The 25,054-nt window shown below is 50.8% G+C and overlaps 3 protein-coding genes and 2 long non-coding RNA genes across 10 annotated transcripts, besides 6 other annotated features; 2 read left to right on the forward strand and 3 right to left on the reverse strand.

Annotated features, from left to right (window-relative positions):
• On the reverse strand, nt 885–1,919 carry NKG7 (natural killer cell granule protein 7). 4 transcript variants are annotated; one of them, XM_005258955.4, is made up of 4 exons: nt 1,644–1,919; nt 1,426–1,467; nt 1,205–1,339; nt 885–1,100 (listed from the first exon to the last, which is right to left on the reverse strand). In XM_005258955.4, exons 1-4 carry the CDS (start codon nt 1,798–1,800, stop codon nt 1,042–1,044), a joined length of 393 nt encoding a protein of 130 aa, XP_005259012.1. In that variant the 5' UTR covers nt 1,801–1,919; the 3' UTR covers nt 885–1,041. The 4 variants fall into 4 exon arrangements, with proteins under 4 accessions (XP_005259012.1, NP_005592.1, XP_006723291.1 ...); NM_005601.4 differs by having other exon boundaries at nt 1,426–1,572; XM_006723228.4 differs by lacking the exon at nt 1,426–1,467.
• Nucleotides 1,205–3,178, forward strand: LOC124904752 (uncharacterized). Its single transcript, XR_007067312.1, has 2 exons — nt 1,205–2,215; nt 3,025–3,178. It is a non-coding gene; the product is annotated as an uncharacterized LOC124904752 (long non-coding RNA).
• Nucleotides 5,792–6,049: a silencer, noted in NCBI's record as "fragment chr19:51879781-51880038 (GRCh37/hg19 assembly coordinates)". NCBI's record gives its function as "represses an EF-1alpha promoter that drives an FKBP-Casp9 reporter gene in an ReSE screen in HepG2 liver carcinoma cells {active_cell/tissue: HepG2}" and the evidence as "EXISTENCE:reporter gene assay evidence [ECO:0000049][PMID:32094911]".
• Nucleotides 9,174–17,239, reverse strand: LIM2 (lens intrinsic membrane protein 2). 2 transcript variants are annotated; one of them, NM_001161748.2, is made up of 5 exons: nt 17,184–17,239; nt 16,534–16,714; nt 11,683–11,832; nt 9,770–9,904; nt 9,174–9,527 (listed from the first exon to the last, which is right to left on the reverse strand). In NM_001161748.2, exons 2-5 carry the CDS (start codon nt 16,706–16,708, stop codon nt 9,466–9,468), a joined length of 522 nt encoding a protein of 173 aa, NP_001155220.1. In that variant the 5' UTR covers nt 16,709–16,714; nt 17,184–17,239; the 3' UTR covers nt 9,174–9,465. The 2 variants fall into 2 exon arrangements, with proteins under 2 accessions (NP_001155220.1, NP_085915.2); NM_030657.4 differs by having other exon boundaries at nt 16,408–16,714.
• LIM2-AS1 (LIM2 and SIGLEC10 antisense RNA 1) lies at nt 16,373–16,636 on the forward strand. The gene is made up of 2 exons (XR_002958397.2): nt 16,373–16,462; nt 16,553–16,636. It is a non-coding gene; the product is annotated as an LIM2 and SIGLEC10 antisense RNA 1 (long non-coding RNA).
• C19orf84 (chromosome 19 open reading frame 84) lies at nt 17,554–19,856 on the reverse strand. Of its 2 annotated transcripts, none has more exons than NR_126530.2 (2): nt 19,614–19,856; nt 17,554–18,774 (listed from the first exon to the last, which is right to left on the reverse strand). NR_126530.2 is itself a non-coding variant. In NM_001193623.2 (2 exons), the coding sequence occupies exons 1-2, from the start codon at nt 19,775–19,777 to the stop codon at nt 18,249–18,251; spliced, it is 561 nt and encodes a 186-aa protein (NP_001180552.1). In that variant the 5' UTR covers nt 19,778–19,856; the 3' UTR covers nt 17,554–18,248. The 2 variants fall into 2 exon arrangements, 1 of the variants encoding a protein (NP_001180552.1); NM_001193623.2 differs by having other exon boundaries at nt 19,743–19,856.
• Nucleotides 23,127–23,723: an enhancer, noted in NCBI's record as "H3K27ac hESC enhancer chr19:51897116-51897712 (GRCh37/hg19 assembly coordinates)". NCBI's record gives its function as "activates a minimal SCP1, AML or CMV promoter by ChIP-STARR-seq in primed H9 embryonic stem cells {active_cell/tissue: H9 hESC(primed)}" and the evidence as "EXISTENCE:reporter gene assay evidence [ECO:0000049][PMID:30033119]".
• Nucleotides 23,127–23,838: a biological region, named in NCBI's record as "H3K27ac hESC enhancer GRCh37_chr19:51897116-51897712".
• Nucleotides 23,629–23,688: a silencer, noted in NCBI's record as "silent region_10987". NCBI's record gives its function as "represses an Ori minimal core promoter by ATAC-STARR-seq in GM12878 lymphoblastoid cells {active_cell/tissue: GM12878}" and the evidence as "EXISTENCE:reporter gene assay evidence [ECO:0000049][PMID:35858748]".
• Nucleotides 23,699–23,838: a silencer, noted in NCBI's record as "silent region_10988". NCBI's record gives its function as "represses an Ori minimal core promoter by ATAC-STARR-seq in GM12878 lymphoblastoid cells {active_cell/tissue: GM12878}" and the evidence as "EXISTENCE:reporter gene assay evidence [ECO:0000049][PMID:35858748]".
• Nucleotides 24,779–24,988: an enhancer, noted in NCBI's record as "active region_15015". NCBI's record gives its function as "activates an Ori minimal core promoter by ATAC-STARR-seq in GM12878 lymphoblastoid cells {active_cell/tissue: GM12878}" and the evidence as "EXISTENCE:reporter gene assay evidence [ECO:0000049][PMID:35858748]".

Below are 25,054 nucleotides of genomic sequence, written 5' to 3' on the forward strand. Positions count from 1 at the left end.
CCCAGGTCAGGCCTCATCATGTCCCACCTATTGCATTGCCAAGTTCCTCCCTCACCTTCTGGCCTCCCCTCCATGTCTACAGGGGGGTCTTTCTGGCACCCAGAGCTGACACTGTCCCTCCCCTGCCCACAATTTTTCTCCCAACTCCCCATCATGTTCAAGAGAAAGTCCAGCATGACATTAGAGGCCACAGCCCCCACCTGCCTCTCCCTCTTCATTTTCCATCCCCCGCCCCCCACATTCTATATCCTGACCCTAAATTACCGATCTTCATCCCCACAAGACTCCTGACTTTTCTGCACGTTCATCTTTGGGCCCCTCTGCCTGGATATTACCTTTCCCTGGCCCTTAAGAAGCTCCTAAATGTTCTCTCTCCAGAAAAGTCGTCTCCATCCCTCCACAATATGGTCAGTCTTTTTCCGGCATTCTCCCTGCACTGGGACTGCTGTCTGGCCTGTATTAACTGCTTCTGGTCTGTAAGTGCCTCCTCCCCACCACCCCACAGACTGAGCCCCTGCTGGGCAGGGCCTGGGTCTGACCCGTGCCAGTGTCCCCAGCATGGGGAAATGTGCAAAGAGAACTGACTGAGTGCAAGGAAGGGCTGAGTTCTGGCAAGGGGGACAAAATCAGAGAGGGAGAGAGAAGGAAAGAGAGCCAGCTAAAGGGAGAAAGACACAGGGAGGAAGAAAAGTGCTGGAGAAGGGGAGACATAGACACGGGTTGGAGCCTGTGTCCACACGGGCCGGGCACTCGTACTGGGCAGGAGCGCCCTGCAGGCTGGTCGGCCTGGTGGGCCCTCACCTTCCCTTGGTGCCCAGCTCCTACCATGGAGCTGGCAGACAGTTGGCTTATGTCTTGGCAGAATTAATCTCAAAATAACCAGATTCCAGCCAAATTTTGTTGAATGAATGAAGAAACAAGAGGAGGGGCTGGGGAAGGGCTGGAAGGGCGGGCAGATGTGGGACCAGACTTTCCCGAGGCTCCAGATGAGGCCTTTGGAATACAACGCTCAAAACTCATCTTGCCGCTCTTGCCTTCTGCTCACAAGGTTTCATAGCCAGGACGGGGACCGCCACAGTGAGCACCCAGGCTCAGGGCACCTGGGGAGCCAGAAAGAGTTTAAGCACTTGCCCCTGCCCTCTGTCCTCAGGGACCCCAACTGGACCCTCCCAAAGCTCCCCAGGGCAGTGGGCAGGATAGTCACCTGTACAGAGCAAGAGGATAGCTGAGACCCAGCCCAGGTAGAAGGACCAGGAGAAGAAGGTCTGGATCTGGGGGTGTGGAGGCTGGTCCCACCGCTCGCTGGTGTACACCGCCATGGCCACCACCATGGAGATGGCTGGGGACAAGGACAAGAGAGATGGCTCAGCTCCTCGGCAGGAATTCGCTGGCTCGCGATGCCCCAGTCCAGTCCAGAGTCCTTACCTGCAGCAAAGGCTGCGGTGGTTGAGACAAGCGGGCCGTGGCCTGGGGGGAACAGTGAGGGGAAGCAGGACAGGACCAGGAAGCTCACGGACACCAGGGCCCACAGAACAGCCATAATGCTGAAGGTCTGCGTCACGTGGATGTAGCCTGATCGGGAGAAGACCACTGAGCACCCATCCCCGCTGGCAACCCCTCTGTAGGACACCCATTCCCCTTACCTGATATGATGTCCCCATGCCCTGTTGGCCAGAGGCCCGAGTGAGCTGAGTGGGTGGGACCCACAGCCTCAAACCAGAAATCGGTGCTCAAAGCAATCAGGCAGAACATCAGGCCCAGGGAGCCCCCCAGCAGGGCCAGGGACCGGCAGAGCTCCATGGGGATAAGCTCAGGGCTTCTGGGTCCTGGAGGAGGAAGAGGCTGCTGATCAGACTCTTGAATCTCAGAGAGAAGGAGGCTGTGCACCCAGACTCCTGGGTCCTTAGAGCCCAAGAAAGAGAGAACAGCAAGCAGTTGGGGCAGTGAGGGGTCCTGCGCTTTGTCACATGAGGCTGGTTTGGTTTCACACAGTTCCCGGTAGCTTTTCACATACCCTCCCTTCCTGGATTGCACAGGCAACGTCCTCCCTCCCCTCCCTGGGGTCCAGTTCCCCGCTTAGTGTGTGATGGGGGAGGGCACTGAGGGTGTCAGATCATCAGTGGTTTGGGCGGTGGTTTAGTACTTGCCTCTGTCACAGATTCTACAACTCCCACCCATGGAACCTTCAACACCAAGTCGGGGCTTCCTGGAAGAGGTGAGAGAGAGAGGCTTGGGGGCCCTGAGGTGGGAGGAAGCCAATCAGGCTAGGGTGTACATTAAGGGGGAGGGCAGATGTGGCTGGAGGGGACAGCTGGGGATGTGTCATGCTTTCCTGTGGGTTATGCAGTCTTCCATTCTGGGAGAGGAAGTCCCCAAGTCTAGGGTCTCTACTGAAGGAGGGGACTTGGGAGTTAGAACTCCTGGGGCTTAAGGAGGAAGGAGCTGGGGGCCTGAACTCCAGGTCCTGAGGGAGGAAGAGGCGGGCAGGAGCTCAGAATCCTGGGCCCCAGTTTGGAGCATATGCCAAGGGCAGGCAAACAGCAGAGAATCACAATTCTGAAAGGTTTGCAGAGAGTCAGACATACCCACATCCTCATCTGATTAATGAGTTCAGTGGCATCCCTGCTTGGGTGGGGGCTCCAGCCTGGTGGCCTTTATCACCAGGATCGGGGGGCCTAGGGGGTGTTGGGGGACATAAGGATTTTGGTTTAGGGTTCTCCAGCCCCCCAAACGCTAGCCTCTTCCATCCACACCATCAGGTCCTGGCAACACCTCATCTACGAGCAGGTATAAGGTGACGGTACCACAGCCCAGGTAGAAGGCCCAGGAAAACTTGACCTCTGTGAAACGGTGATATGGTTAGGGTTTGTGTCCCTACCCAAATCGCACCTTGAATTGTGTCCCCATAATCCTCACGTGTCTAGGTAGAGACCAGGTGGAGGTAATTGAATCATGGGGCCGGCTTCCCCCATGCTGTTCTTGTGATAGTGAGTGAGTTTTCACAAGATATGGTGTTTTTTTAAGGGGCTCTTCCTGCCTTCGCTTGGCCTTCTTCCTGCCACTCTGTGAAGACAGTGGCTTGCTTCCCCTTCACCTTCCACCATGATTGTAAGTTTCCTGAGGCCTCCCCAGCCATGCTGAACTGTGAATCAAATAAACCTCTTTCCTTTATAAATTACCCAGTCTCAGGCATTTGTTGTTGTTGTTGTTGTTGTTTGAGACAGAGTCTCACTCTTGTCACTCAGGCTGGAGGGCAGTGGCAAAATCTCGGCTCACTGCAATCTCCACCTCCCAGGTTCAAGCAGTTCTCCTGCTTCAGCCTCCCAAGTAGCTGGGATTACAGGTGCCCGCCACCACACCCAGCTAATTTTTGTATTTTTAGTAGATTTCAGGTTTAGTAGATTTTCGGGTTTTCACCATGTTGGACAGGCTGGTCTTTAACTCCTGACCTCAGGTGATCTGCCCACCTTGGCCTCCCAAAGTGTTGGGATTACAGGTGTGAGCCACCACGCCCGGCCAGGCAGTTATTTATAGCAGTGTGAGAATAGACTAATACATAGGGAGTAGTCTGGAAGAGGACCTCTGTCTTGGAGATGAACTGGTCCAGCAGTCCCAGGACAGCTGGCAAATGTGGAGAATGGGAAATGACCTGGAAGACTGGTTCCTCTCCTTTATTGGAGAGACTCAGATCGGCAGCCCCCATCCTTCACTCAGATCTGCACCACTCTGAGAACACATTTATGAGCACAGGCTCCCAGAGGTGGCAGAGGCCATGAGCAGGCCAGGTCTCCGGAAAACCTGCCATGGTGTGCAGTGAGTAGCAGGTCAGAGCACACAGCCTATCTATCTGTGACCCTGACCCCCTCCCAAACCCAAAGCCATCCTTAACCCCAAACCCAACTCCATCCCCAAACTCAGTATCAAGCCCAGTTCCAACCACAAATTCAACCCATCCCTATCCCCAAAGTTAACCCTATTCCCATTCCTGAACACAACTCCATACCCAATCCCATCCCTATTCGTAATCTCCACCCTAGCTCCAACCCCCATCCTCAAATAGAACTCCATTCTCAGTCCCAACTACACACTCAACCCCATCCCCCGATTCGCCCCCATCCCCAAACCTAACGTCATTCTAATTCCCAAACTCAACATCATCCTTATTCCCAGTTCCAACCCTTATACCCTTCCCACCCTCAAATCTAACTCCATTCTCATTCTGAAACCCCACCCTATCTCCAAACCAAACCCCTCTCCATTATTAACCCCAGCCCCTACTCCAAACCCAACCCCATCCTCTTCCTGAAACTTGACCCTATTCTCATTCCCATCCCAACCCTTTTTTTTTTTTTGAGATGGAGTCTCACTCTGTCACCCAGGCTGGAGTACAGTGGCATGATCTTGGCTCACTGCAACCTCCGCCTCCTGGGTTTAAGTGATTCCTGTGCCTCAGCCTCCTGAGTAGCTGGGGTTATGGTTGTACGCCACCACACCAGGCTAATTTTTTTTTTTTTTTTGTATTTTTAGTAGAAATGGGGTTTTGCCATGTTGGCCAGGCTGGTCTTGAACTCCTGACCTCAGGTGATCCACCTGCCTCAGCCTCCCACAGTGCTGAGATTACAGGAGTGAGCCACTGCGCCCAGCCACTGTCTTTTCATTCTTCTCTGCAACCTCTATAATTCATACCTAACTCCGACCATTTTCATTCTCCTTTCACCTCCAGGTCCAAGCCTGTAACCTCATTTCTCATCTCCCCAAGTGGGTCCCACTACCACCACCATCACACCCATGCATGCATGCATACACAGAGGTGACCTGTACCTGGCTCCAGTGAGTCTCTGCACATGTAGGTATCACAGGCTGATCACAGGCCCAGGCCCTCTGACAGACACCACAAGCCAGTAAGAGCGGGTGAGTGAAGGTCATCTTTTTTTTTTTTTTTTTTTTTTTTTTTTGAGACGCAGTTTCACTTTTGTTGCTCAGGCTGGAGTGCAATGGCATGATCGGGGCTCACAGCAACCTCTGCCTCCCAGGTTCAAGAGATCCTCCTGCCTCAGCCTCCTAAGTAACTAGGATTACAGGCATGCGCCACCATGCCCGGCTGACTTTCTATTTTTAGTAGAGACGGGGTTTCTCCACGTTGGTCAGGCTGGTCTCGAACTCCTGACCTCAGGTGATCCACCTGCTTCAGCCTCCCAAAGTGCTGGAATTACAGGCGTGAGTGACCGCACCCAGCCAGCCAAGACCATCTCTTAAGAGCACAAAGGCAAGGCAGCTGGGGCCTTGAAGACAGAATTGCTCGCAGGATCTCCAGCAGCTTTCTCAACCAGATGTGGTCTGTGGTTGCCAGAGGAAAACCCCAGGCCTCCTTCTGAAGCTTTTCCTGAGAGCTCTGTGAAAGGAAAATCTTGGGGCCCCAAAATTACTGAGCTAAAGGGGAAAGTCAGGCTGGGAACAGCTCAGGGCAAACCTGCCTCTCATTCTATTCAAAGTCATCCCTCTGCTCACTGAGATCGATGCATATCTGATTGCCTCCTTTGGAAAGGCTTATCAGAAACTCAAAAGAGGCCATGCCTGTAATCCCAGCACTTTAGGAGGCCTAAGCAGGTGGATCACCTGAGGTTATGAGTTCAAAACCAGCCTGGCCAACATGGTGAAACCCCATCTCTACTAAAAATACAAAAATTAGCCGGGCATGGTGGTGCACGCCTGTAGTCTCAGACTCAGGAGACTGAGGTAGGAGAATCACTTGAACCCAGGAGGTGGAGGTTGCAGTAAGCCGAGATTGTGCCACTGCACTCTAGCCTGGGCAACAGAGTTAGACTCCATCTAGGAAAAAAGAAACTCAAAGAATGCAACAATTTGTCTCTCACCTACCTGTAACGTGGAATCCCCCTCCCTGCTTTGAGTTGTCCCCACCTTCCTGGATGCACCAATGTACTTCTTACATCTATTGATTGATATGTCATGTCTCCCTAAAATGTATAGAACCAAGCTGTGCCCCGACCACCTTGGGCACATGTCGTCAGGACATCCTGAGGCTGTGTCACGGGCGCATGTCCTCAACTTTGGCAAAATAAACTTTCTATTGTTCTTTTTTTTGAGATGGAATCTCGCTCTGTTGCCCAGGCTGGAGTGCAGTGGCACGATCTCGGCTCACTGCAAGCTCCGCCTCCCGGGTTCACGCCATTCTCCTGCCTCAGCCTCCTGAGTAGCTGTGACTACATGGCAAAATAAACTTTCTAAATTAACTGAGACCTGTCTCAGATTTTCGGGGTTCACAGCTCACGTCGCCTGCTTGGCCACTTGGTTCTCTTAGGTCTCTGTCAGTCTTGTCTAAGCACTGTCAGTTTTTTTGAATCACCCAGGTCTCTTCCAACTTTCTCCAGCCCCTTCCAACCTCTCCCGGGCTTGAAAGCTCCTCAGTAGCCCCCATCTGCCACGGAAGACCCCAAAAAATTAGCTGGGAGTGGTGGCGTGCACCTGTAATTCCAGCTACTCGGGAGGCTGAGGCAGGAGAATCGCTTGAACCCGGGAGTCAGAAGTTGCAGTGAGCCAAGATCGCACCACCGTACTCCAGCCTGGGTGACAGAGTGAGACTCCATCTCAAAAAAAATAAAATAAAATAAAATTTAAAAAGACTAATCCTCAATTAACCTACGTTCTATTAAAGAAATGAATGCTAATGGTAAACAGTTATTATGGAAGGCATCATCATTTCTATTGAGGTGCACTCTAGTCATAATATTTAATGGCTATTATAATGATAAAAAGATATTAAATCTCAGTATCATTAGAGTACATTTCAATAAATAATACTTTATGTAAGTCAATAAACAGCACTTACTTTATGTAAGTCAGTTGGCCTGAATAAAGATTTATTGTTCAACAAATGTTCTTTTGAGTGATTACCATGTGCCAGGTGCTGTCTTTGAGGATTTACAGGAAACCAAAAGCAGACACAGGCCAGCTGGGGTGGCTCACGCATGTGATCCCAGCACTTCGGGAGGCCAAGGTGGGAGGATCACTTGAGACCAGTAGACAGAGACCAGTCTAGGCAACATAAGGAGACCCCATCTCTACAAAAAATTAAAAAATTACCCAGGCATAGTGGGTGGTGCATGCCTGTAGTCTTAGCTGCTCAGGAGGCTGAGGTGGGAGGCTCAGTTGAGCCTGGGAGGTGGAGGCTGCAGTGAGCTGTGATCACGCCACTGCATTGTAGCCTGGGCAAGAGTGAGACCCTGTCTCAAAAAAAAAAAAAAAAAAAAAAAGCCAACATTGAATCCCAAAGTTGTTGGCTTGAGTAGCTGGATAAAAATGGGGTTGTTTGGCCGGGCGTGGTGGCTCACACCTGTAATCCCAGCACTTTGGGAGGCCGAGGCGGGCGGATCACGAGGTCAGGAGTTTGAGACTAGCCTGGCCAACATGGTGAAACCCCGTCTCCACTAAAAATACAAAAATTAGCTGGGCGTGGTGGCAGACGCCTGTAATCCCAGCTACTTGGGAGGCTGAGGCAGGAGAATCACTTGAACCCAGGAGGGGAGGCGGAGGTTGCAGTGAGCCGAGATTGCACCACTGCACTCCAGCCTGGGCAACAGGGCGAGACTCCATCTCAAAAAAACAAATAAGTAAAATAAAAAATGGGGTTGCCATTTCCTAAGATGGGGAAGACCATGGGAGGAACACATAGGCTGTGTGTGAGATCAGGAACTTATTTTTGGATATGTGAGATTGGAGATGCCTCTTCTTTTCAAGTGGGAATGTTGAGTAAGTAAGTTGAGCAGGTAAGTTGGAGTCCTGAGTCTGGAGTCATAATTATATCATTATTATTGCTAGAGTAAGCCCCTATAAATATGATTACTAGAATAAGTCTCGGCAAATATTTCTATTTAAATAGGCCTCAATAAATTATTAGAGAAATCTTCAATTGTCATTATTATTAGAGAAAACCTCTATAAATACAGTATTTTTATTTGAGGAGGCCCCAGTAAATATTATTTTAGGGAATAAGCCTCTATAAACATAACATTTATTAGCATAGCTGTAGTAAATAGTCTGATTAGAATCAGCCTTATGAAATAGTCTTATGATAGACATCAGTAAATCTCATGGCAGTTAGCAACCATTTATTTTCTTTTTCTTTTTCTTTTTTATTTTGAGACATAGTCTTACTCTCGCTCAGGCTGGAGTGCAGTGGTGCTATCACAGCTCACTGCAACCTCCGTCTCCTCGGACTCCAGCGACCCTCCCACCTCAGCCTCCTGAGTAGCTGGGACAGGCACACACCAACATGCCCAGCTAATTTTTTTTTTTTTTTTTTTTTTTGTAGAGATGGGGTTTTCTCATGTTGCCTGGGGGACTCCTGGGCTTGAGCAATCCACCTGCCTTGGTTTTCCAAAGTGCTGGGATTACCGGTGTGAGACACCACACCCAGCCAGCATCAATTAATAGAATGAATTACTAATGAGTGAATGAAGAGAAGATCACGGTCATGAATGGTGTGTGAAGAGCAGGTGCCGGAGGTAAGGCTCAGGGTTCTGGTGTTTCCTTTGAAGGGACGCATCAGGGGAGGAGAGAGGAGGCTGGGGAGAGCCAACTGGAGGCGGGGTGGGCAGGGAGTTTTTTCAGAGATCTTTTCATTTGTCCGATTATCCTACACATCCATATCCTGGAAGTTGAACTGTGGTGAGCTCCTGGACACGGACTGTTGATTCATCTCTGTTCCCCTCCGTGCAGAAACTGAGAAGGTCAGGCCTCCATAATACAGCACCCCTGGGCCGGGTGCAGTGGCTCACGCCTGTAATCCCAGCACTTTGGGAGGCAGAGGTGGGTGGATCATCTGAAGTCAGGAATTCGAGACCAGCCTGGCCAACATGGTGAAACCCCATCTCTACTAAAAATACAAAAAGTAACCAGGAGTGGTAGTGGGCCCCTGTAATCCCAGCTACTTGGGAAGCTGAGGCAGGAAAATCACTTGAACCCAGGAGGCAGAGGTTGCGGTGAGCTGAGATCGCACCATTGCACCCCAGCCTGGGCAACAAAGGCGAAACTCCGTCTCAAAACAATGAAGACAACAACCACAAGAAAAACACACAAAAAAGCACCCCTGCCCACACCCACCACCCTTACAGCTGTTTCTCCCCATCCTAGTCCCTCAAGTATTAACACTTTAGTAGTTTCACATCAGTTTTATTAGGCCCCAGAAAGTTGCTCTAATGGATAGTCCATTTTTCTAACAACCTGCCAGGCAGACGGGGACTTGAGTCTTCTCAGCTCCCTCCCATGGGCCCTATTCTTCCTCCTTCCAGCCTAGGACCAGGAGTCAGCCTCCCCCCACAAACCCACAGTCCAGAACTGAGCCCCCTCATTCCCCTAGGAACCAGGATTTCAGGCCTCTAGACCCTCCTCCTCCTCTTCAGTGGCCTCACTTTAACTTCCAGATGAAGTTGGGGGACACATTTGGGCTCAGCGGGGTGTAGACAGGCGCCGGCATTCATGCACCCGGTAGGCGCACATGTAGAAAATCCCTGCATGAGAAGAAGTTCAAATTCACCCCCTCAAACCTCCCCCAGCTCCATTTCCACCCCAAGAGAGCCCAACACCCTACTCTCTTTCTCCCTGGGTATCCCCGACCCCAGACTCCATAGGCCTGGAGTCTTCCTCCTGACCCAGTGCTGTGGGACTCATGTGGGACACCCTGTCATCTTCCACTCTATCTGCTGCCCACTCTGCCCCAGGCACTGACCTTCCCACCCCTTGCCCCCAGTACCTGCGAAGAACGTCATGAGCACTGCCACCCAGCCCAGGATGTAGGACCAGGAAAAGCGCCAGTCCCCAAAGCGGCGGCCCAGGAAGCTGACGGTGACTCCAGTGTAGATGGCCAAGGCCAACACGACGAAAAGGGCTGGGGAGAGAGGGCGGGAGGATGCAGGTGGGACTAAGGCTGGGTGTGATTTTGGAGGTGGGCAGAGAGCTGATGATGGGGGTGGGAACTAAGATTGGGGAAAGGGGTGGAAATGGGTTGGGGGTGGGGATAGGAGTGAGGATAGGGGTTGAGTTGAAATTAGGGGTAAAGATGATTGGGGGATAGGTTTGGGATGGGGTTGGACACGCTTGTGTTTTATAATGTAATTGGCCATTGTCTCTGGTTCCTGGGAGGGAGAAACAATATTTGGAACTTCCTGAGTAATAGGAGGGTCTTTGTTATTCTTGAGCCTCTTGGGCCCAACCTGAGTTTATGGTAATGAGATGAGATGACTCAGGGTTGGGTGTGGTTGTCAGAAAAACCAACCAGGTCAGGCACAGTGACTCATGCGTGTCATCCCAACACTTTGGGAGGCTGAGTAGGGTGGATCACTTGAGGTCAGGAGATCAAGATCAGCCTGGTCAACATGGTGAAACCCCGTCTCTACTAAAAATACAATAAAAAAAAATTAGCTGGGTGTGGTGGTGGGTGCCTGTAATCCCAGCTACTCAGGAGGCTGAGGCAGGAGAATCACTTGAACCCGGGAGGGGAGGTGGAGGTTGCAGTGAGCTGAGATCGAGCCACTACACTCCAGCCTGGGTGACAGAGTGAGACTCCATCTCAAAAAAGGAGAACAAAAAAGAAAGAAAGAAAGACCGACCATGATATGTTGAGGCTCTGAACCACTTGATATCAGGGAAGAAAGGAAGTTGGAAACTGCATTCCATCAATGACCAACGATTCAATCAGTCATGCCTATTTTACAAGACTCCAATAAAACCTCTGGACACTGAAGCTCAGTGGCGCTCCCTATTGGTGAAAACATCTGTGTGCTGGGAGGGTGATCCCTGGCTCCACAGGAAGAAGGCTTGGAAGCTCTGCATTTTGGGCTCTCCTAGACTCTGCCCTCTGTGTCTCTTCATTTGCTTGGACCTGAGTTGTGTCCTCTATAAGGAAACTATAACTGTAAGTATAGCACTTTCCTGCATTCTATGAGTTATTCCAGCAATTTTTGTTGTTGTTATTGTTGTTGTTGTTTTTGTTGAGACAGAGTCTCGCTCTGTCGCCCAGGCTGGAGTGCAGTGGCACAATCCCAGCTCACTGCAAGCTCCGCCTCCTGAGTTCATGCCATTCTCCTGCCTCAGCCTCCCAAGTAGCTGGGACCACAGGCGCCCGACACCACGCCTGGCTAATTTTGTTTTGTATTTTTAGTAGAGATGGGGTTTCGCCATGTTGGCCAGGCTAGTCTCAAACTCCTGACCTAGTGATCCACCTGCCTCGGCCTCCCAAAGTGCTGGAATTACGGGCGTGAGCCATCGCACCCGGCCTCCAGCAAATTTTTGAATCTGAGTGGGTCTTGGGAACCTCCTAGTTTGTAGCCAGTGGATCAAAAGCATGGGTGGCCCAGGCACCCTGCTTGCAGCTTGTAGCTGAGGTGGAAGCAGTCTTGCTAGGGACTGTGGTCTTAACCTGTGGAGTCAAACACAAATTTTAGGTGATTCATGCCAGAACTGAACTGTAGTACACCAGCTAGTGTCAGAATAGACTGGAACTAGAAATAGTCATGAGGTTGGTTTTGAGTGTGGGGATGGGATTAGGGTGGGGTGGGGTTGAGTGTGAGGAGGAGTAAGGGGTGAGAATGGTGTTGAGGGGTGGGGACAGATTGGGGTTTGAGATGAGAGCGAGGAGAGGGGTAGGGAGAGGGTGGGCTTACTCACTTGAGGAAAAAAACATGATGCCAGCAGAGAAGGGCCGGGAGATGCGGGAGAAGGTAGGCTGATGAGCGAAGGCCATGATGCCCATGATGATGCCGGAGATGGCGCATAGGGCAGACAGGATCATGAAGGCCCGGGTGGCATTCCAGTATGCTGTGGGAGCACCCCATGGTCATTCCCACACCTCCCCTGCTCTAAGTGAGAGATGCTGCTACCTCTGAGATGAAAATGCCTTGCCCCTTTCCATATCCCTAACCCAGCTCATCCTTCCCTTCTTTGCAAATGCCCTCTTCTTCACCTGGCAAACTCCTACTCATCCTCCAAAGCACAGCTCCCGTGACCCATCCTCTAGGAAGCATCTCCCCACCCCTCAGTCATCATCTTCACCCACGGCTAAGGGTTGTGACTCTCTTTGTCTGTCTCCCCCTCCAGCCTGATTGCTCCTTGAAGACAGGCGGTGGGTTGGTTCTGTGTCATAAACACCCCCACCACACATTTGGTTTGCATTCTGGCCTTGGGAAATGTTTGTTGAATGAATGAATGAATGAATGCTGATTCCTTATATTTTCCTACTAATTACTATTCTCTCTCACATTTCTTTTTTTTTCTTTTCTTTTTTTTTTTTTTTTTTTTTTTTTGAGACCGAGTCTTCCTCTGCCACCCAGGCTGAAGTGCTGTGGCACAATCTCAGCTCACTGCAGCCTCCACCTCTGAGGTTCAAACGATTCTCCTTCCTCAGGGTCCCGAGTAGCTGGGACTACAGGTGCGCACCACCATGCCCGGATAATTTTTGTATTTTTAGTAGAGACGGCATTTTGCCATGTTGGCCAGGCTGGTCTCAAACTCCTGGCCCCAAGTGATCCACCTGCCTTGGCCTCCCAAAGTGCTGAGATTACAGGTGTGAGCCACTGCGCCCAGCCTACTCTTTCATTTATTTTATACTACTTGCTTATATCTGAAAATGTCCTATTTACTTGTTTTTAACTTATTTATAATGTCTGTCTCTCCTCAGTAAATCCTTAGCTCTCAAGGACAAGCACCTTGCTTTCTCATTCACCACTGTGTCCCCAGCACCTACACCTGGTGCATAATAGGTGCCCAATAAATGCGTGAAATGAATTAATGTTGAGCACCGGGGCCATTCTTCTCTTGTGCTTTGCCCAGGGATGGCCCCTCAGGAAAGATAATAATAATCTCTTCATCCTTTAGCAACGGCTAACTATATGCCAGGCTCGCTACCCAGGTGTGATGTTGTTTATTCCTCCAGAGCCCTACTCTATAAGTACCATTTTTATGCTTCTTTTTCAAGTGAAGAAATGGAGGCCCAGAGAGGTAAAGTGACTTGCCCGAAGTCTCATAATTAGAAACAGGGCTGGAGTCAGAATCCAAGCTCCAAGGCCCACGCTCCTAACTGCTTGGCTATTCTGTCTGCTGGAGCACCTGGGAAATGGTGCACCTCAAACCTTGCATCTTGCCATTGAAAAGTAAAAAGTCTAGGATCTTTGTAAAACCCAGTCTTCTGCCTTGTAGAAGCCTCGGTGAGAGAAATTCCTGGCTGTTTCTCCATGGATTTTATGGGTTATGCCTTTCTGTCCCCCGCCTCAAATGTTTATGTTGAAATTGTAACTAGTGCCTTAGAATGGTAACTTATTTGGCAATAGAGTCTTTGCAAATATAATTAGTTAAGACGAGATCATGCTAGAGTAGGGTGGGGCTCTAATCCAAAGACTGGGCTGGGTGTGGTGGCTCCTGCCCAGTGTAATCCCAGCACTTTGGGAAGCCAAGGCAGGTGGATCACCTGAGGTCAGGAGTTTGAGACCAGCCTAGCCAAAATGGAGAAACCCTGTCTCTACTAAAAATACAAAAATTAGCCAGGCTTGGTGGTGGGCACCTGTAATCCCAGCTACTCAGGAGGCTGAGGCAGGAGAATCACTTGAACCCGGGAGGTGGAGGTTGCAGTGAGCCAAGATCATTCCACTGCCCTCCAGCCTGGGTGGCAGAGCGAGACTCCAACTCAAAAACAAAACAAAACATAAAACAAAGACTGCCGTCCTTATAAAAAGAGGAATCTGGACACAGACATGCTTTTAGGAAAAATGCCATGTGTGAGGAAGGTAGAAATTGGGGTGATGCATCTCCAAACCAAGAAACACCAAAGATTCCCAGAAAATCACCAGAAGCCAGGGAGGGAGGGACATGGAACAGATTCTCCCTCACAGCCCTCAGAAGGAACTGATTTTGCCCACATCTTCATCTCGGCCTCCAGAACTGTGAGACAACACGTTTCTGTTGTTCAAGCCACCCAGTCTGTGGGGCTTTTTTATGGCATCCCTAGCACACTAATTCAGGCTGGTCACAGCGGCTCAGGCCTGGAATCCCAGCACTTTGGGAGGCCGAGGCAGGAGGATTGCTTGAGGCCAGGAGGGTTTCTTTTTGATTATTTATTTTATCTTATTATTATTTTTTGAGACAGGGTCTTGCTCTGTCACCCAGGCTGGAGTGCAGTGGCTCTATCTTAGCTCACTGCAGCCTTAAACTTCTGGGCTCAAGTGATCCTCCCACTTCAGCCTTCTGAGCAGCTGGGGCCACGGGAGCACACCACCACGCCCAGCTAATTTTTTATTTTTTGTTGAGATGGGGTCTCCTTACGTTGCACAGGCTGGTCTCAAACACCTAGGCTCAAGTGATCCTCCTACCTCAGCCTCCCGAAGTGCTGGGATTCCAGGCTGAGCCACCACGTCCATCTGAAGCCGGGAGTTTGAAACAAGCCTGGGCAATACAGTGAGATGCTGTCTCTACAAAAATCAAATCAAATGAAATAATGAGGCCAAGTTCGGTGGCTCATGCCTATAATCCCAGCACTTTGGGAGGCCGAGGCGGGTGGATCACCTGAGGTCAGGAGTTCGAGACCAGCCTGGCCAACATGGTCAAATCCTGTCTCTACTAAAATACAAAAATTAGCCAGGCATGGTTTTGGGCGCCTGTAATCCCAGCTACTCGGGAGGCTGAGGCAAGGAGAATTGCTTGAACCCAGGAGGCAGAGGTTACAGTGAGCCGAGATAGTGCCATTGCACTCTGGCAGGGGTGACAGAGCGAGACTCTGTCTGAAACAAAACAAAACAAAACAAAAACAAACAAACGAAAAAACGAAAGACCTTCACCAAGGCTCCCTGTCTCCTGCATCCCTGGCAGAGATAAGACAGAGAGGTGGCTCAGGGCTGTCCCTCGGGGAATTCCCAGCCCGAAGCAGGAGAAATGTAGAAGTGTCACAAATGAGACAGCCAGAAAGGAGAAGGATGTGTGGAGTCAGGCAGAGCGGACTCTGAAGCTGATGGCCCAAGGCAAGTCTTTTCACTTCTCCCTGCCTCAGTCTACCTCTCCAGCAAACAGGCATCGTCCTGCCTCTCTCTCAGGGCTGGCTCCGGGAGAGATGAGTGGGCGAAGTCTCCCATGCCTGTCACGTCCGGCACTCAGTGACGCTTAGCTCTTCTTCTCAGCTACTCAAGAGGATGTTTGAATTTTGAGATCAAATCTCATGTCTCACTCTTACATACAATTGAACTGCCCGTAGTGTTGTTGGGGATGGAAGTGAGTTTATCCATGTAAAGTGCTTAGAATAGCACATAGGGCATAGTAAGCACTCAATCAATGCCAGTTATTATTATTACTGTTACTAGTAGTAATACACAATATATTATATATTATTAATTAATTTTTATTTATTTTTTAGACAGAGTCTTCGTCTGTTGTCCAGGCTGGAGTGCAGTGGTGCCATCTGGGCCCACTGCAGTCTCCGCCTCCCAGGTTCAAGCGATTTTCCTGCCTCAGCCTCCTGAGTAGCTGGGATTACAGGTGCTCACCACCATGCCTGGCTAATTTTTGTATTTTTAGTAGAGACCGGGTTTCACCTTTTTTGCCAGGCTAATCTTGAACTCCTGACCTCAGGTGATCCGCCCACCTCAGCCTCCCGAAGTGCTGGGATTACAGACGTGAGCCACCACGCCTGGCCAAATTTATTAATATGTTATATAATAAGTGTGCAATATAATATACTCTACATTATTAATTTATTATATAATATATTGTATAATATATACATTATTAATTTATTATATAATGTCATGACATATACTATTTATTAGATAATGAATGTGTAATATAATGGATTCTACATCATATATAATATATTACATGTGCATTACTTATATAATATGTAGCATATTATATACAATATATTATGTATTAGTAATTTATTATATAATAGAGGTGCATGTATAATACACTATACTGTATATTATTGTCTATATGTAGTTATATATAATACATCATAAATTATATGTAATAATATAAATTGCATATATTACACATAATATAGTATACATTAACTTAATATATTATAGATGCTATGCAGCAAGCAATATACTATATATCTCTATGTATCTCTCTATCTATGGCCTGGCACATTATAAGTAGGCAAAAATACTTTATGCTACTTTATGCAGTATTTAGCAAATTCAGTATCCACCAGTACCTAACATAGTTCTTGGTCCATAGTACATATTTAGAAAATGCTGTTTCGTGACACTAGCCCCAATTGCTGTGCATGACACCTCTGAAGCGTCAGGAAATGCCACCTCTCCCAACTTAACCTTCAAACCAGCACCCCGTGAAACTGCAGCTAGAAAACAACCCTGTAGTCCCAGTTCTGCCCCCTCCATGCTGAGTGACCTTGGGTTGCTCCCTTTCCCTCTTTGAGCCGCAGAGTTCTCCATCTGGAATACAGGTGTCCTTGGGCCCCGAGGTCCGCCCTGCTCTTTCCCCAGGCGCGGCCTGGACCCTGGCCGGGGGGCTCACCGATGCTGTCTGTCTGCAGGTAGCACTTGTTGCCCAGGCAGTACCGCCACAGGCCCTGGTGGGCGAAGGACCCTGACAGCCGGTACTGCATCCAGTGGTCTGTTGCCATGGCCACCACCAGGAGGATGGTCCCCACCCAGGCACAGAACAGGCCACCACCCATGAAGCTGTACATGGTGATCTGTGGGGAAGGGGAGAGATGGGATTGGGAGCTGAATTCCCGGGACTTGAAGGGAGGAACTGGGGGGAGAGAGGGCTCAGGAGTGGGATGCCAAGTGCTTGGGAGAAGGAGATGGAGACCTAGACGCCTGGGTCCTGGGCGAGGAGGGGACTGGAGCCCGGACTCCTGGGTCTGAGGGAGGAGGATGGTAGGGATCCTGGAAAGACAACAGGGAGAGCGGGGCTGGGTTCTGGGAAGAAAAGGCCGGGGGCCTGGACTTCCAGGTTCTGAGCAAGGAATAGGCTGGAGGCCTAGCTTCCTGAGTCCTAGGTGAGAAGGGGCCCAGGAGCCTGGATTCCTGGGTGGTGGGTAAGGAAGGGGCTAGGGGCTAGGGGGTAGGACACCAGGTCCTGGGAGAAGAAGGAGCTGGGACCCTAGACTCCTGGGACTTGGGGAAGAGGGGGCTACAGGTCTCACGCCTGGTGCCTACCTGAGTGGCAGAGCCTGCCCGAGCCCTCCTTCTGCCACGGCCCCTCTGTGCAGACTGAGCTGAGCCTGGTCACTGGCCTCTTTGCCCCCTTAGGTTCCCCAAATCCCTTAAGCCTCCCTACACAATGGTCCCACTACCCAGCAGCTTCCAGCAGGCAGAAATGCAGCGGTGGCAGAGGCCTCAAATGGAATTCGCTGAAGCAGGCATCCAGGGGGCTCCCCCCACCCACTCACTGACCTCTGTGACCCTCCCCGGAACCCAATACCTTGTCGCCAGCCTTGCTCAAAGCAACCCTGGCTTTGTCCGAGCTGTGTAAGCACGCACACACGCACACACACACACACACACGGGCGCGCGCACACACGCAAGATTCAGGGAGAGTCATGCGTTTATTGTTCAACCAGGGCTTTCTACCTGAAGAGCAGGCAGTGGGGTGGGGAGTCACAGGTGTCTGGGTATGTGGGGCCAATGCGGTTCTTTGTGGGGATGGACACAGGGCTGTGGCTGAGGTTGAGGATGGAGCTCTTTGGGGCTGTAGATTCAGAGGACATTAAAGATGGGCTGAGGTACACAGGCAATGAGGAGAAAGGGGTTGGTAAAGAGGGTGGGTTAGGGTTGAGGCGCAGAAGTGGAGCTGGGACTGGTGACAGGGATGGGAATGAATGGGTTTGGGAACAGGGTATTGAGAGTGGGGAAGAGAGAGGCAGGTAGGAGTGGCTTTGGGATTAGGGAGAGGATAGGGAATGGGGTTGGAGGAGCCCTGGGGGTTGAGAATGAGGTAAGGATTGTGGTTGTGGTTGGGGATGGCATTGGGAATGGGGTTGAGGCCATCAAGGAGACAGGTTTGGGTACGAGGTTTAGGATTTTCTTCTCACTTGGGATTCAGGTGACTTAGGTCAGGTTCACCAAGTGCCTCACAGGAGCTACTCCTGGGATTGTGGTTTTGGGGAGAGGGGAGGATGGAAGATGTTTCTTGGGGTTCTTCTGACAGGGCTGAGATCACTCTGGGCCCCAGGAAAACCCTCCTGGGTGACTGCAATCTCAGGTGCCTGACCCTCCAAGGTCCTAGTACTCTGTCTCCCAGTCCTCAGCAGCCAGTGGTGTTTCCAGGGGTGGCTCTGGACCTCGAGCTTCTTTCTTCCCATCCTGGGCAGGCAGTGTTGGTGGTGATGGCAGTGTCATTGGTGGGGTCCTGGGGCCAGCCCCAGGGCCCCCCGCCCGGCCCCTCTCTGGCTGCTCAGCTCTCCCAAGGCCCCGTCGATGCAGGCCTCGGCCCCAGCCTGGCCTGTGCCTGACTTCCCAGCCTCCGCGTCCCCTGGGAGGCCTCCTAACTGCCCCCGGCTGGGAGTGGCCTGCCTGGGAGCAGCAGGGGCAAGAGGGCAAGGCCTGTTGGAAGGTGTAGGCCCCCAGCAGGGCGCTGTGCAGGAGGCAGGAGAGGGTGTCCAGGCGTATGGGCACGGTGACAGAGGCCACGCTCTCCGGGAGCCCCAGGTGGGTGGGGTCTGTGGAGTTCAGGAGCAAGGGTGGAGGGGCTGGGAGAGGCGCAGGGGGCCATGGCTCGGTCCCAGATGACGGCAGGGACAGGTTGTTCCTAGAACAACAAAAAGACAGGTCAGTGGGGCTCAGCGTCTCCGTACTTTCTTGTTTCTCGCTGCCAGGCTGTCTCTGCACCTCTGCAGAAGGCAGCCATCTCTCCATCCTCAGTGCCCACCTGTGACTTCCTCCCCCGCTTCTCTCTTTTTGTTTCTAACCCGGGTCTCTCTAAAGAAACAGACAGCTCTGCCATGAACTTCGGCACCAGACAGAACTCAGTTCCAATTCCTGGTGGCCTCGCTTTTGGTGGTGTATCTTTGGACAAATCATTTTCCTATTCCGAACCTTAATTTGTTTATAGTCACAGATGGCTTTGGATGGTATCAAAGGTGCGTATGACAGCGCTGGGTCTGGTAAGTGCTAAAACAGTGGACAGCTACGATTTCTCCAGCCTTCTGGGGATCCCTGGAGTCTTCACATTTCTTGGTTTATTCTTGGAAATTTCTGTTCGATGAGTATCTGTTTCTAGCTCTTTTTTTTTTTTGAGATGGGGTTTCACTCTTGTTGCCCAGACTGGAGTGCAATGGCGCTAACTTGGCTCAACGCAACCTCTGCCTCTCGGGTTCAAGCGATTCTCCTGCCTCAGCCTGTCGAGTACCTGGGATTACAGGCACGCACCACCACGCCCGTCTAATTTTGTATTTTTAGGAGAGACAGATTTCTCCATGTTGGTCAGGCTGGTCTCGAACTCCCGACCTCATGTGATCCACCCGCCTCGGCCTCCCAAAGTGCTGGGATTACAGGCATAAGCCACTGCACCCGGCCTCCGCCTGTTTCTAAGTATCTCGCTCAACTCTCACCAAGATCTTCTAAGATTCTGTACCTATGTGATGATACCTGAGCCTTTTTTGTTTTTCCTGATTCTCTATGCAGGTCTGTTCAGCGCGCCCTTTCTCTCTCGTTTTCTCTGTCCCCTCCTCTCTCTGGGTCTCTGTCCCCCTCTCAGGAGGTCTTTGTTTGTCTCACCCTTCAGGCCCAGCCCCGTCCTTTGGTTGTTCCATCTCCACTGGGGCCCTCTTACGTATCTTCTAGCAACTTCGCCTCCGAGATCCTTCGGGGGCCCGGGAAGGTTGGGGAGGGGCCGAGGCCGAGAGAGGCGGGGCTTGGCCGGGTCAGAAATGGGGCGTGGCTCGCGGAGTTATCCGGGATCCCAAAAGAAAGAGCTCAGGCGGGGACCTGGATCTAGTTCCCCAAGATCACTTACTTAAGGCCTCCAGCACCCTGTAGCCCCTCCTCCCTCAGACCCAGGAGTCCAGATCCCCAGCTCCTCCTCGCTCAGACCCAGGAGTCCAGATCCCCAGCTCTTCCTCCCTCAGACCCAGGAGTCCAGATCCCCAGCTCCTCCCTAAGACCCAAGAGTCTAGATCCCCAGCCCCCTCCTCCCTCAGACCCGGAAGTCTAGGGCCCCAGCCCCTCCTCCCTCAGACCCGGGAGTCCAGATCCCCAGCTCTTCCTCCCTCAGACCCGGGAGTTCAGATCCCCAGTTCCTCCTCCCTAAGACCTAGGAGTCCAGATCCCCAGCCCCCTCCTCCCTCAGACCCGGAAGTCTAGGGTCCTAGCCACTCCTCCTTCAGACCCGGGAGTCCAGGCTCCAGCCCCTCCTTCTTCAGACCCCGTACTCTGGTTCCCCAGCCCCCTTCCTCTCTCAGATTCAGTAGTCCCGGGACCCCTGCCCCCTTCTCTCTCTCTCTCTGTCTTTCTCTCTCTTTATTCCTGCCATATCCTCAAGACAGATTCTTTAGGACTCAAGGGACGTTTTAGGTAGGGAAATGTGGACACTCCCTAGGGCAGAGGGCGTGGTAGATGGTCTGGAGGTCTTAGCCATTCTAGGCGCTGGGTTCTACTAGGTGCCGTGTCTCTAACTTGCTTTGTTACTTTAGGTGCTTCTACTCTCTATGCCCTAGTTTCTCCATCTGAGAAATGGGGCTAATATTACTGTCCAGGTTCTTGTGATATTACTTGTGTATTAGTAGACACAGAATCTGGACCACAATTAGGCTGAACACATGAGATTTACTTATTGTTATTGCTGGTGGTTGTGACAGTGTTTTGCTGAGAAGCAATCGTCATTATTACATGCATTCATTTAAGAAATATTCAATGCCTGCTATGATTTGGGCTCCAGGCTGCACACGGGACAGAATAGACATGGCCCCTACTCTCAGGAAACTTGCATGCTTGTAAGGGAGACAGACGAGACATACATAGCATATATTCTGTAAGAATATGTACCTGAAGATGTCAAATCAGGGCAAGAGGATATAGAGTCACCGAGGTAGGGAGATAGAGCAGATAACGTGGTTAGGGGCCTGGCCCGGTGGCTCACGCCTGTAATCCCAGCATTTTGGGAGGCCGAGGTGGACGGATCACTTGAGGTCAAGAGTTTGAGACCAGCCTGGCCAAGATGGTGAAACCCCATCTGTACTAAAAATACAAAAATTAGCTGGGCGTGGTGGCAGGCACCTGTAATCCCAGCTATTCGAGAGGCTGAGGCAGGAGAATCGCTTGAACCTGGGAGGCAGAGGTTGCAGTGAGCTGAGATCGTGCCGCTGCACTCCAGCCTGGGCAACAGAGTGAGACCCTGTCTCAAAAATAAATAAAATAAATAAATAAATAAATAAAAATACAAAAATTAGCCAGGCATGGTGGGGCATGCCTGTAGTCCCAGCTACTTGGGAGGCTGAGGCAGGAGAATCACTTGAGCCCAGGAGGCGGAGGCTGCAGTGAGCTGAGATGGCACCATTGCACTCTAGTCTGGGCTACAGAGTGAAACTTCATCTCAAAAAAAAAAAAAAAAAAAAAGAATAAAAAATTAAGTAGATAAGATGGTTAGAAAAGGCTGTTATGGGAAGGTACTGGAAGACTGGAAGTTGAATATTCCTGGGGAGGGAACAGCTTCTGAAAGTAAAACAAATGTAGTGATTCAGGGACTGGAAAATAATCAGCTAAGAGGAGTGGCATAGGTATTTATATTTTTAAATAAATGCTTTATGTTGCAATACTTTTTGCGTGTGTTTTTTTTGAGACAGGGTCCCCCTCTGTCACCCAGGCTGGAGTGCAGTGGTGTGATCATGGCTCACTGCAGCCTCAACCTCCTGGGCCCAAACCATCCTCCTACCTCAGCCTCCCAAGTAGCTGGGACCACAGGCACACACTACCACACGGGGTGCCTTATTTTGTAGAGACAGGGTCTCAGAATGTTGTCCAGGCTGGTCTCAAACTCCTGGGTTCAAGAGATCCTCCTGTTTTGGCCTCCCAAAGTACCAAGAGATTACAGTCATGAGCCACCATGCTTGGCCTGGAATACTTTTATACTTAGAGAAAAGTTACAAAGATAATACAGAGAGTTCTCATTTACTCCAGACAGGAGTTCCCCTAATGTTGCCATCTTACATTGTCATGTAATGTACATGGTACATTAGTCACAACTAAGAAACTGACAGGACTATTAGGTAAACTGCAGGCTTTATTTGGATTTTACCAGTTTTTACACTAATGTCCTTTGTTTCTGGTCCTGGATCCAATCTGGACTACCACATTGGATTTAGTCATCCTCTCTCGTTAGTCTTCTCTAATCTGCAGCACTCTCTAAGTCTTTCCTTGTTTTTCACAACCTTGAGAGTTGGGGGAGTTCTAAATTATTTTGTAAAATGAAGGTCTTTTTTTTTTTTTTGAGACAGGGTCTCCCTCTGTCACCTAGGCTGGAGTGCAGTGGTGCTATCTCAGTGCACTGCAACCTCCACCTCCCGGGTTCAAGCGATTCTCCTGCCTCAGCCCCCTGAGTAGCTGGGATTACAGGCGCCTGCCACCACGCCCCGCTAATTTTTGTATTTTTAGTAAAGATGGGGCTTTACTATGTTGGCAAGACTGGAGATCTATTTTAATGAATAATATGAACTAATTTAATCCACATTTTAAAAAATTATGTATTTATTTTAATAGAGAAGAGGTCTCTCTATGTTGGCCAGTTGGTGTTAAACTCCTGGCCTCAAGCAATCTTCCCACCTCGGCCTTCCAAAGTGCTAGGATTACAGGGTATTTTAAAATTTTTATTTATTTATTTATTTATTTATTTATTTATTTATTTATTTAAGACAGTCTTGTTCTGTCGCCCAGGCTGGAGTGCAATGGCACGATCTCCGCCCACTGCAACCTCCGCCTCCTGGGTTCGAGCGATTCTCCTGGCTCAGCCTCCCAAGTAGCTGGGATTACAGGCATGTGCCACCATGTCCATGTCCAGCTAATTTTTGTATTTTTAGTAGAGATGGGGTTTCCCCATGTTGGCCAGGCTGGTCTCGAACTCCTGGCCCCACGTAATCCTCCTACCTTGAGTGCTGGGATTACTGGGATAGGCCCCCGTGCCTGGCCCACAACATTGCATTTTAAGGAGGAGAAGTCCCAGGCAACAGGATCGCCCTATGCTGGACGATGTTAGTGGCACTGAGTGGCCGGAATAAGATTTTTGCCAAGAGATCTGGCTTGCTTTTCTTTCCTGGAGACTGATGAGAACCCAGATCTTCAGATTTCAAGTCTGGGTCTATCCATTCGGTTACTTTAAATCCCAGAGGCAGATGGCGCTCACTGCTCAAGTCTAGCGTCATGGGATTGTTCTAGCTTGTTCTTTTATTGCTTCTCCTATTACTAAGATCAGGATCTGACGCCATTTGGAAACCAGGGTCTGACCGCTTACCACGTACCTCGCCCTTTAAGGCTTTTTCTGTCCCGTCCCCCGTGCCCCTGCGGCGCTAGGAGACTGGAGGCGGGACCTTGTGTCGCTAAGGAAATGCCCTTTACTCAGCTTCCAAAATTGACAGGCTAGTTCTGAAAACTGGCCAACCAACTTCTGCTTAAGGGGAAGCGAGACTTCCGATTTGTAGGGGAACGCAGCGGCGATTGGTTAGAGTCCCGCCCACTTGTTAAGCGTCGCGAGCCACTATTCTCGGCTCTGATTGGCCAGAGAACTCGCGCCGCTTTTGAATCCCCACCCTGCGGACCCCGCGCGCCTCGCCTTCTCCCTCTGGTTGGCGAGCGCCTTTCTGCGCCTTCAGGCATTTTTGCTGAGGCTTTTGTCTGCGCATGTGCGGGTAGGTTCCGGTAGCATCCGGGAGACCCGGCCCAGGCCTGGAGATGCTGAGCGGAGCTTGGAGGGAGAGAGGGGACTGGGTTGTTGAGGGGAGAATCCCTCTCGGCATCTCCTTGGCCCACTGGGGAGCCCCATTGCCCCATCCACCGCTTAGAACCAGACCCTTCCTTTCACTCTCCACTCCCTATCCCTACCGGCTTTAGACCTTCAAAGTTCCAAGATTCGACCTTCGGGGTCTCCCCATTTCGTAGGGGCTTACAGATTTCCTAAAATCCCCCTCCTCCCCGAACCCCCTTCCGTCCCTGGAGATTCTGGGGTCCCTGCTCTTTCCCATTCATTCCACCCCATCTACTTGGGACCCTTCCAAGGGCAAGGGGGGCCTCTCAGTGCCTCTCCTACCCTCATGTCCTTTCTCCTCTTTTAGGTCCAGGAGGTCATCTTTGCCTCCCTTCCTTGAAATCTCCCCAGATTTAGAGGCCCTCACCCAGCTTCTCCCCTCTCAGCCCTGTCGAGGTGTCAAGGTTCGGGGATCACCTTTGTTGTTGTTATTGTCGAGGCGTCAAGGTTCGGGTGTCACCTTTGTTGTTGTGTGTTTTTTTTTTTTTGAAACTGAGTCTCGCTCTGTCGCCCAGGCTGGAGTGCAGTGATGCGATCTCGGCTCACTGCAACCTCCGCCTCCCGAGTTCAAGCGAGCCTCCTGCCTCAGCCTCCCGAGTAGCTGGGATTACAGGTGCCTGCCACCAGGACTGGCTAATTATTGTATTTTCAGTAGAGACGGGGTTTCACCACGTTGGCCAGGCTGGTCTCAAACTCCTGACCTCAAGTGATCCACCCGCCTTGGCCTCCCAAATTGCTGGGATTACAGGCGTGAACCACAGCGCCCGGCCTAAGCCCTAGCTGTTCATTGCCACAATGAGAGGAAGTACAGGAAGGTGTTGAGATCATGGGCGTGGAGTCCAACTGACATGCTTGACTGATGTCACATACTGCTCTGCCCCTGAAAAGCTGAGTCACCTTGGGTAATTTGCTTAGCCTCTCTGAGCTTCAGTTTCACTCGGGAGCTGGCCAAGAACACTTGTCTCAGAGTTGCTATGACATTCGAACATGGCAGTGTACGTAAAGGGCTCGGCATGGAGCTTGTTCTCATTAAGCCCCATGGCACGTGGGCATCTATGCTTTTTTTTTTTTTTTTTTT

Source organism: Homo sapiens, chromosome 19, assembly GCF_000001405.40.
Source record: "Homo sapiens chromosome 19, GRCh38.p14 Primary Assembly".
Lineage (NCBI taxonomy): Eukaryota > Metazoa > Chordata > Mammalia > Primates > Hominidae > Homo > Homo sapiens.

Coding starts and splice junctions, on each gene's coding strand:
- NKG7 (NM_005601.4), bottom strand. CDS start 1,800: ATGGAGCTCTGCCGGTCCCTGGCCCTGCTGGGGGGCTCCCTGGGCCTG. Junction 1,340..1,425: donor CACCGCAGCCTTTGCTGCAG/GTAAGGACTCTG, acceptor CCTTGTCCCCAG/CCATCTCCATGGTGGTGGCC. Junction 1,101..1,204: donor TATCCTCTTGCTCTGTACAG/GTGACTATCCTG, acceptor CTGGCTCCCCAG/GTGCCCTGAGCCTGGGTGCT.
- LIM2 (NM_030657.4), bottom strand. CDS start 16,708: ATGTACAGCTTCATGGGTGGTGGCCTGTTCTGTGCCTGGGTGGGGACC. Junction 11,833..16,407: donor GGGAAAGGGAGCAACCCAAG/GTCACTCAGCAT, acceptor GTGCTCCCACAG/CATACTGGAATGCCACCCGG. Junction 9,905..11,682: donor CATCATGTTTTTTTCCTCAA/GTGAGTAAGCCC, acceptor CTCTCTCCCCAG/CCCTTTTCGTCGTGTTGGCC.
- C19orf84 (NM_001193623.2), bottom strand. CDS start 19,777: ATGGAACAACCAAAGGACGGGGCTGGGCCTGAAGG. Junction 18,775..19,742: donor GACGGGGCTGGGCCTGAAGG/GTGAGACAAACA, acceptor TTGTTGTTCTAG/GAACAACCTGTCCCTGCCGT.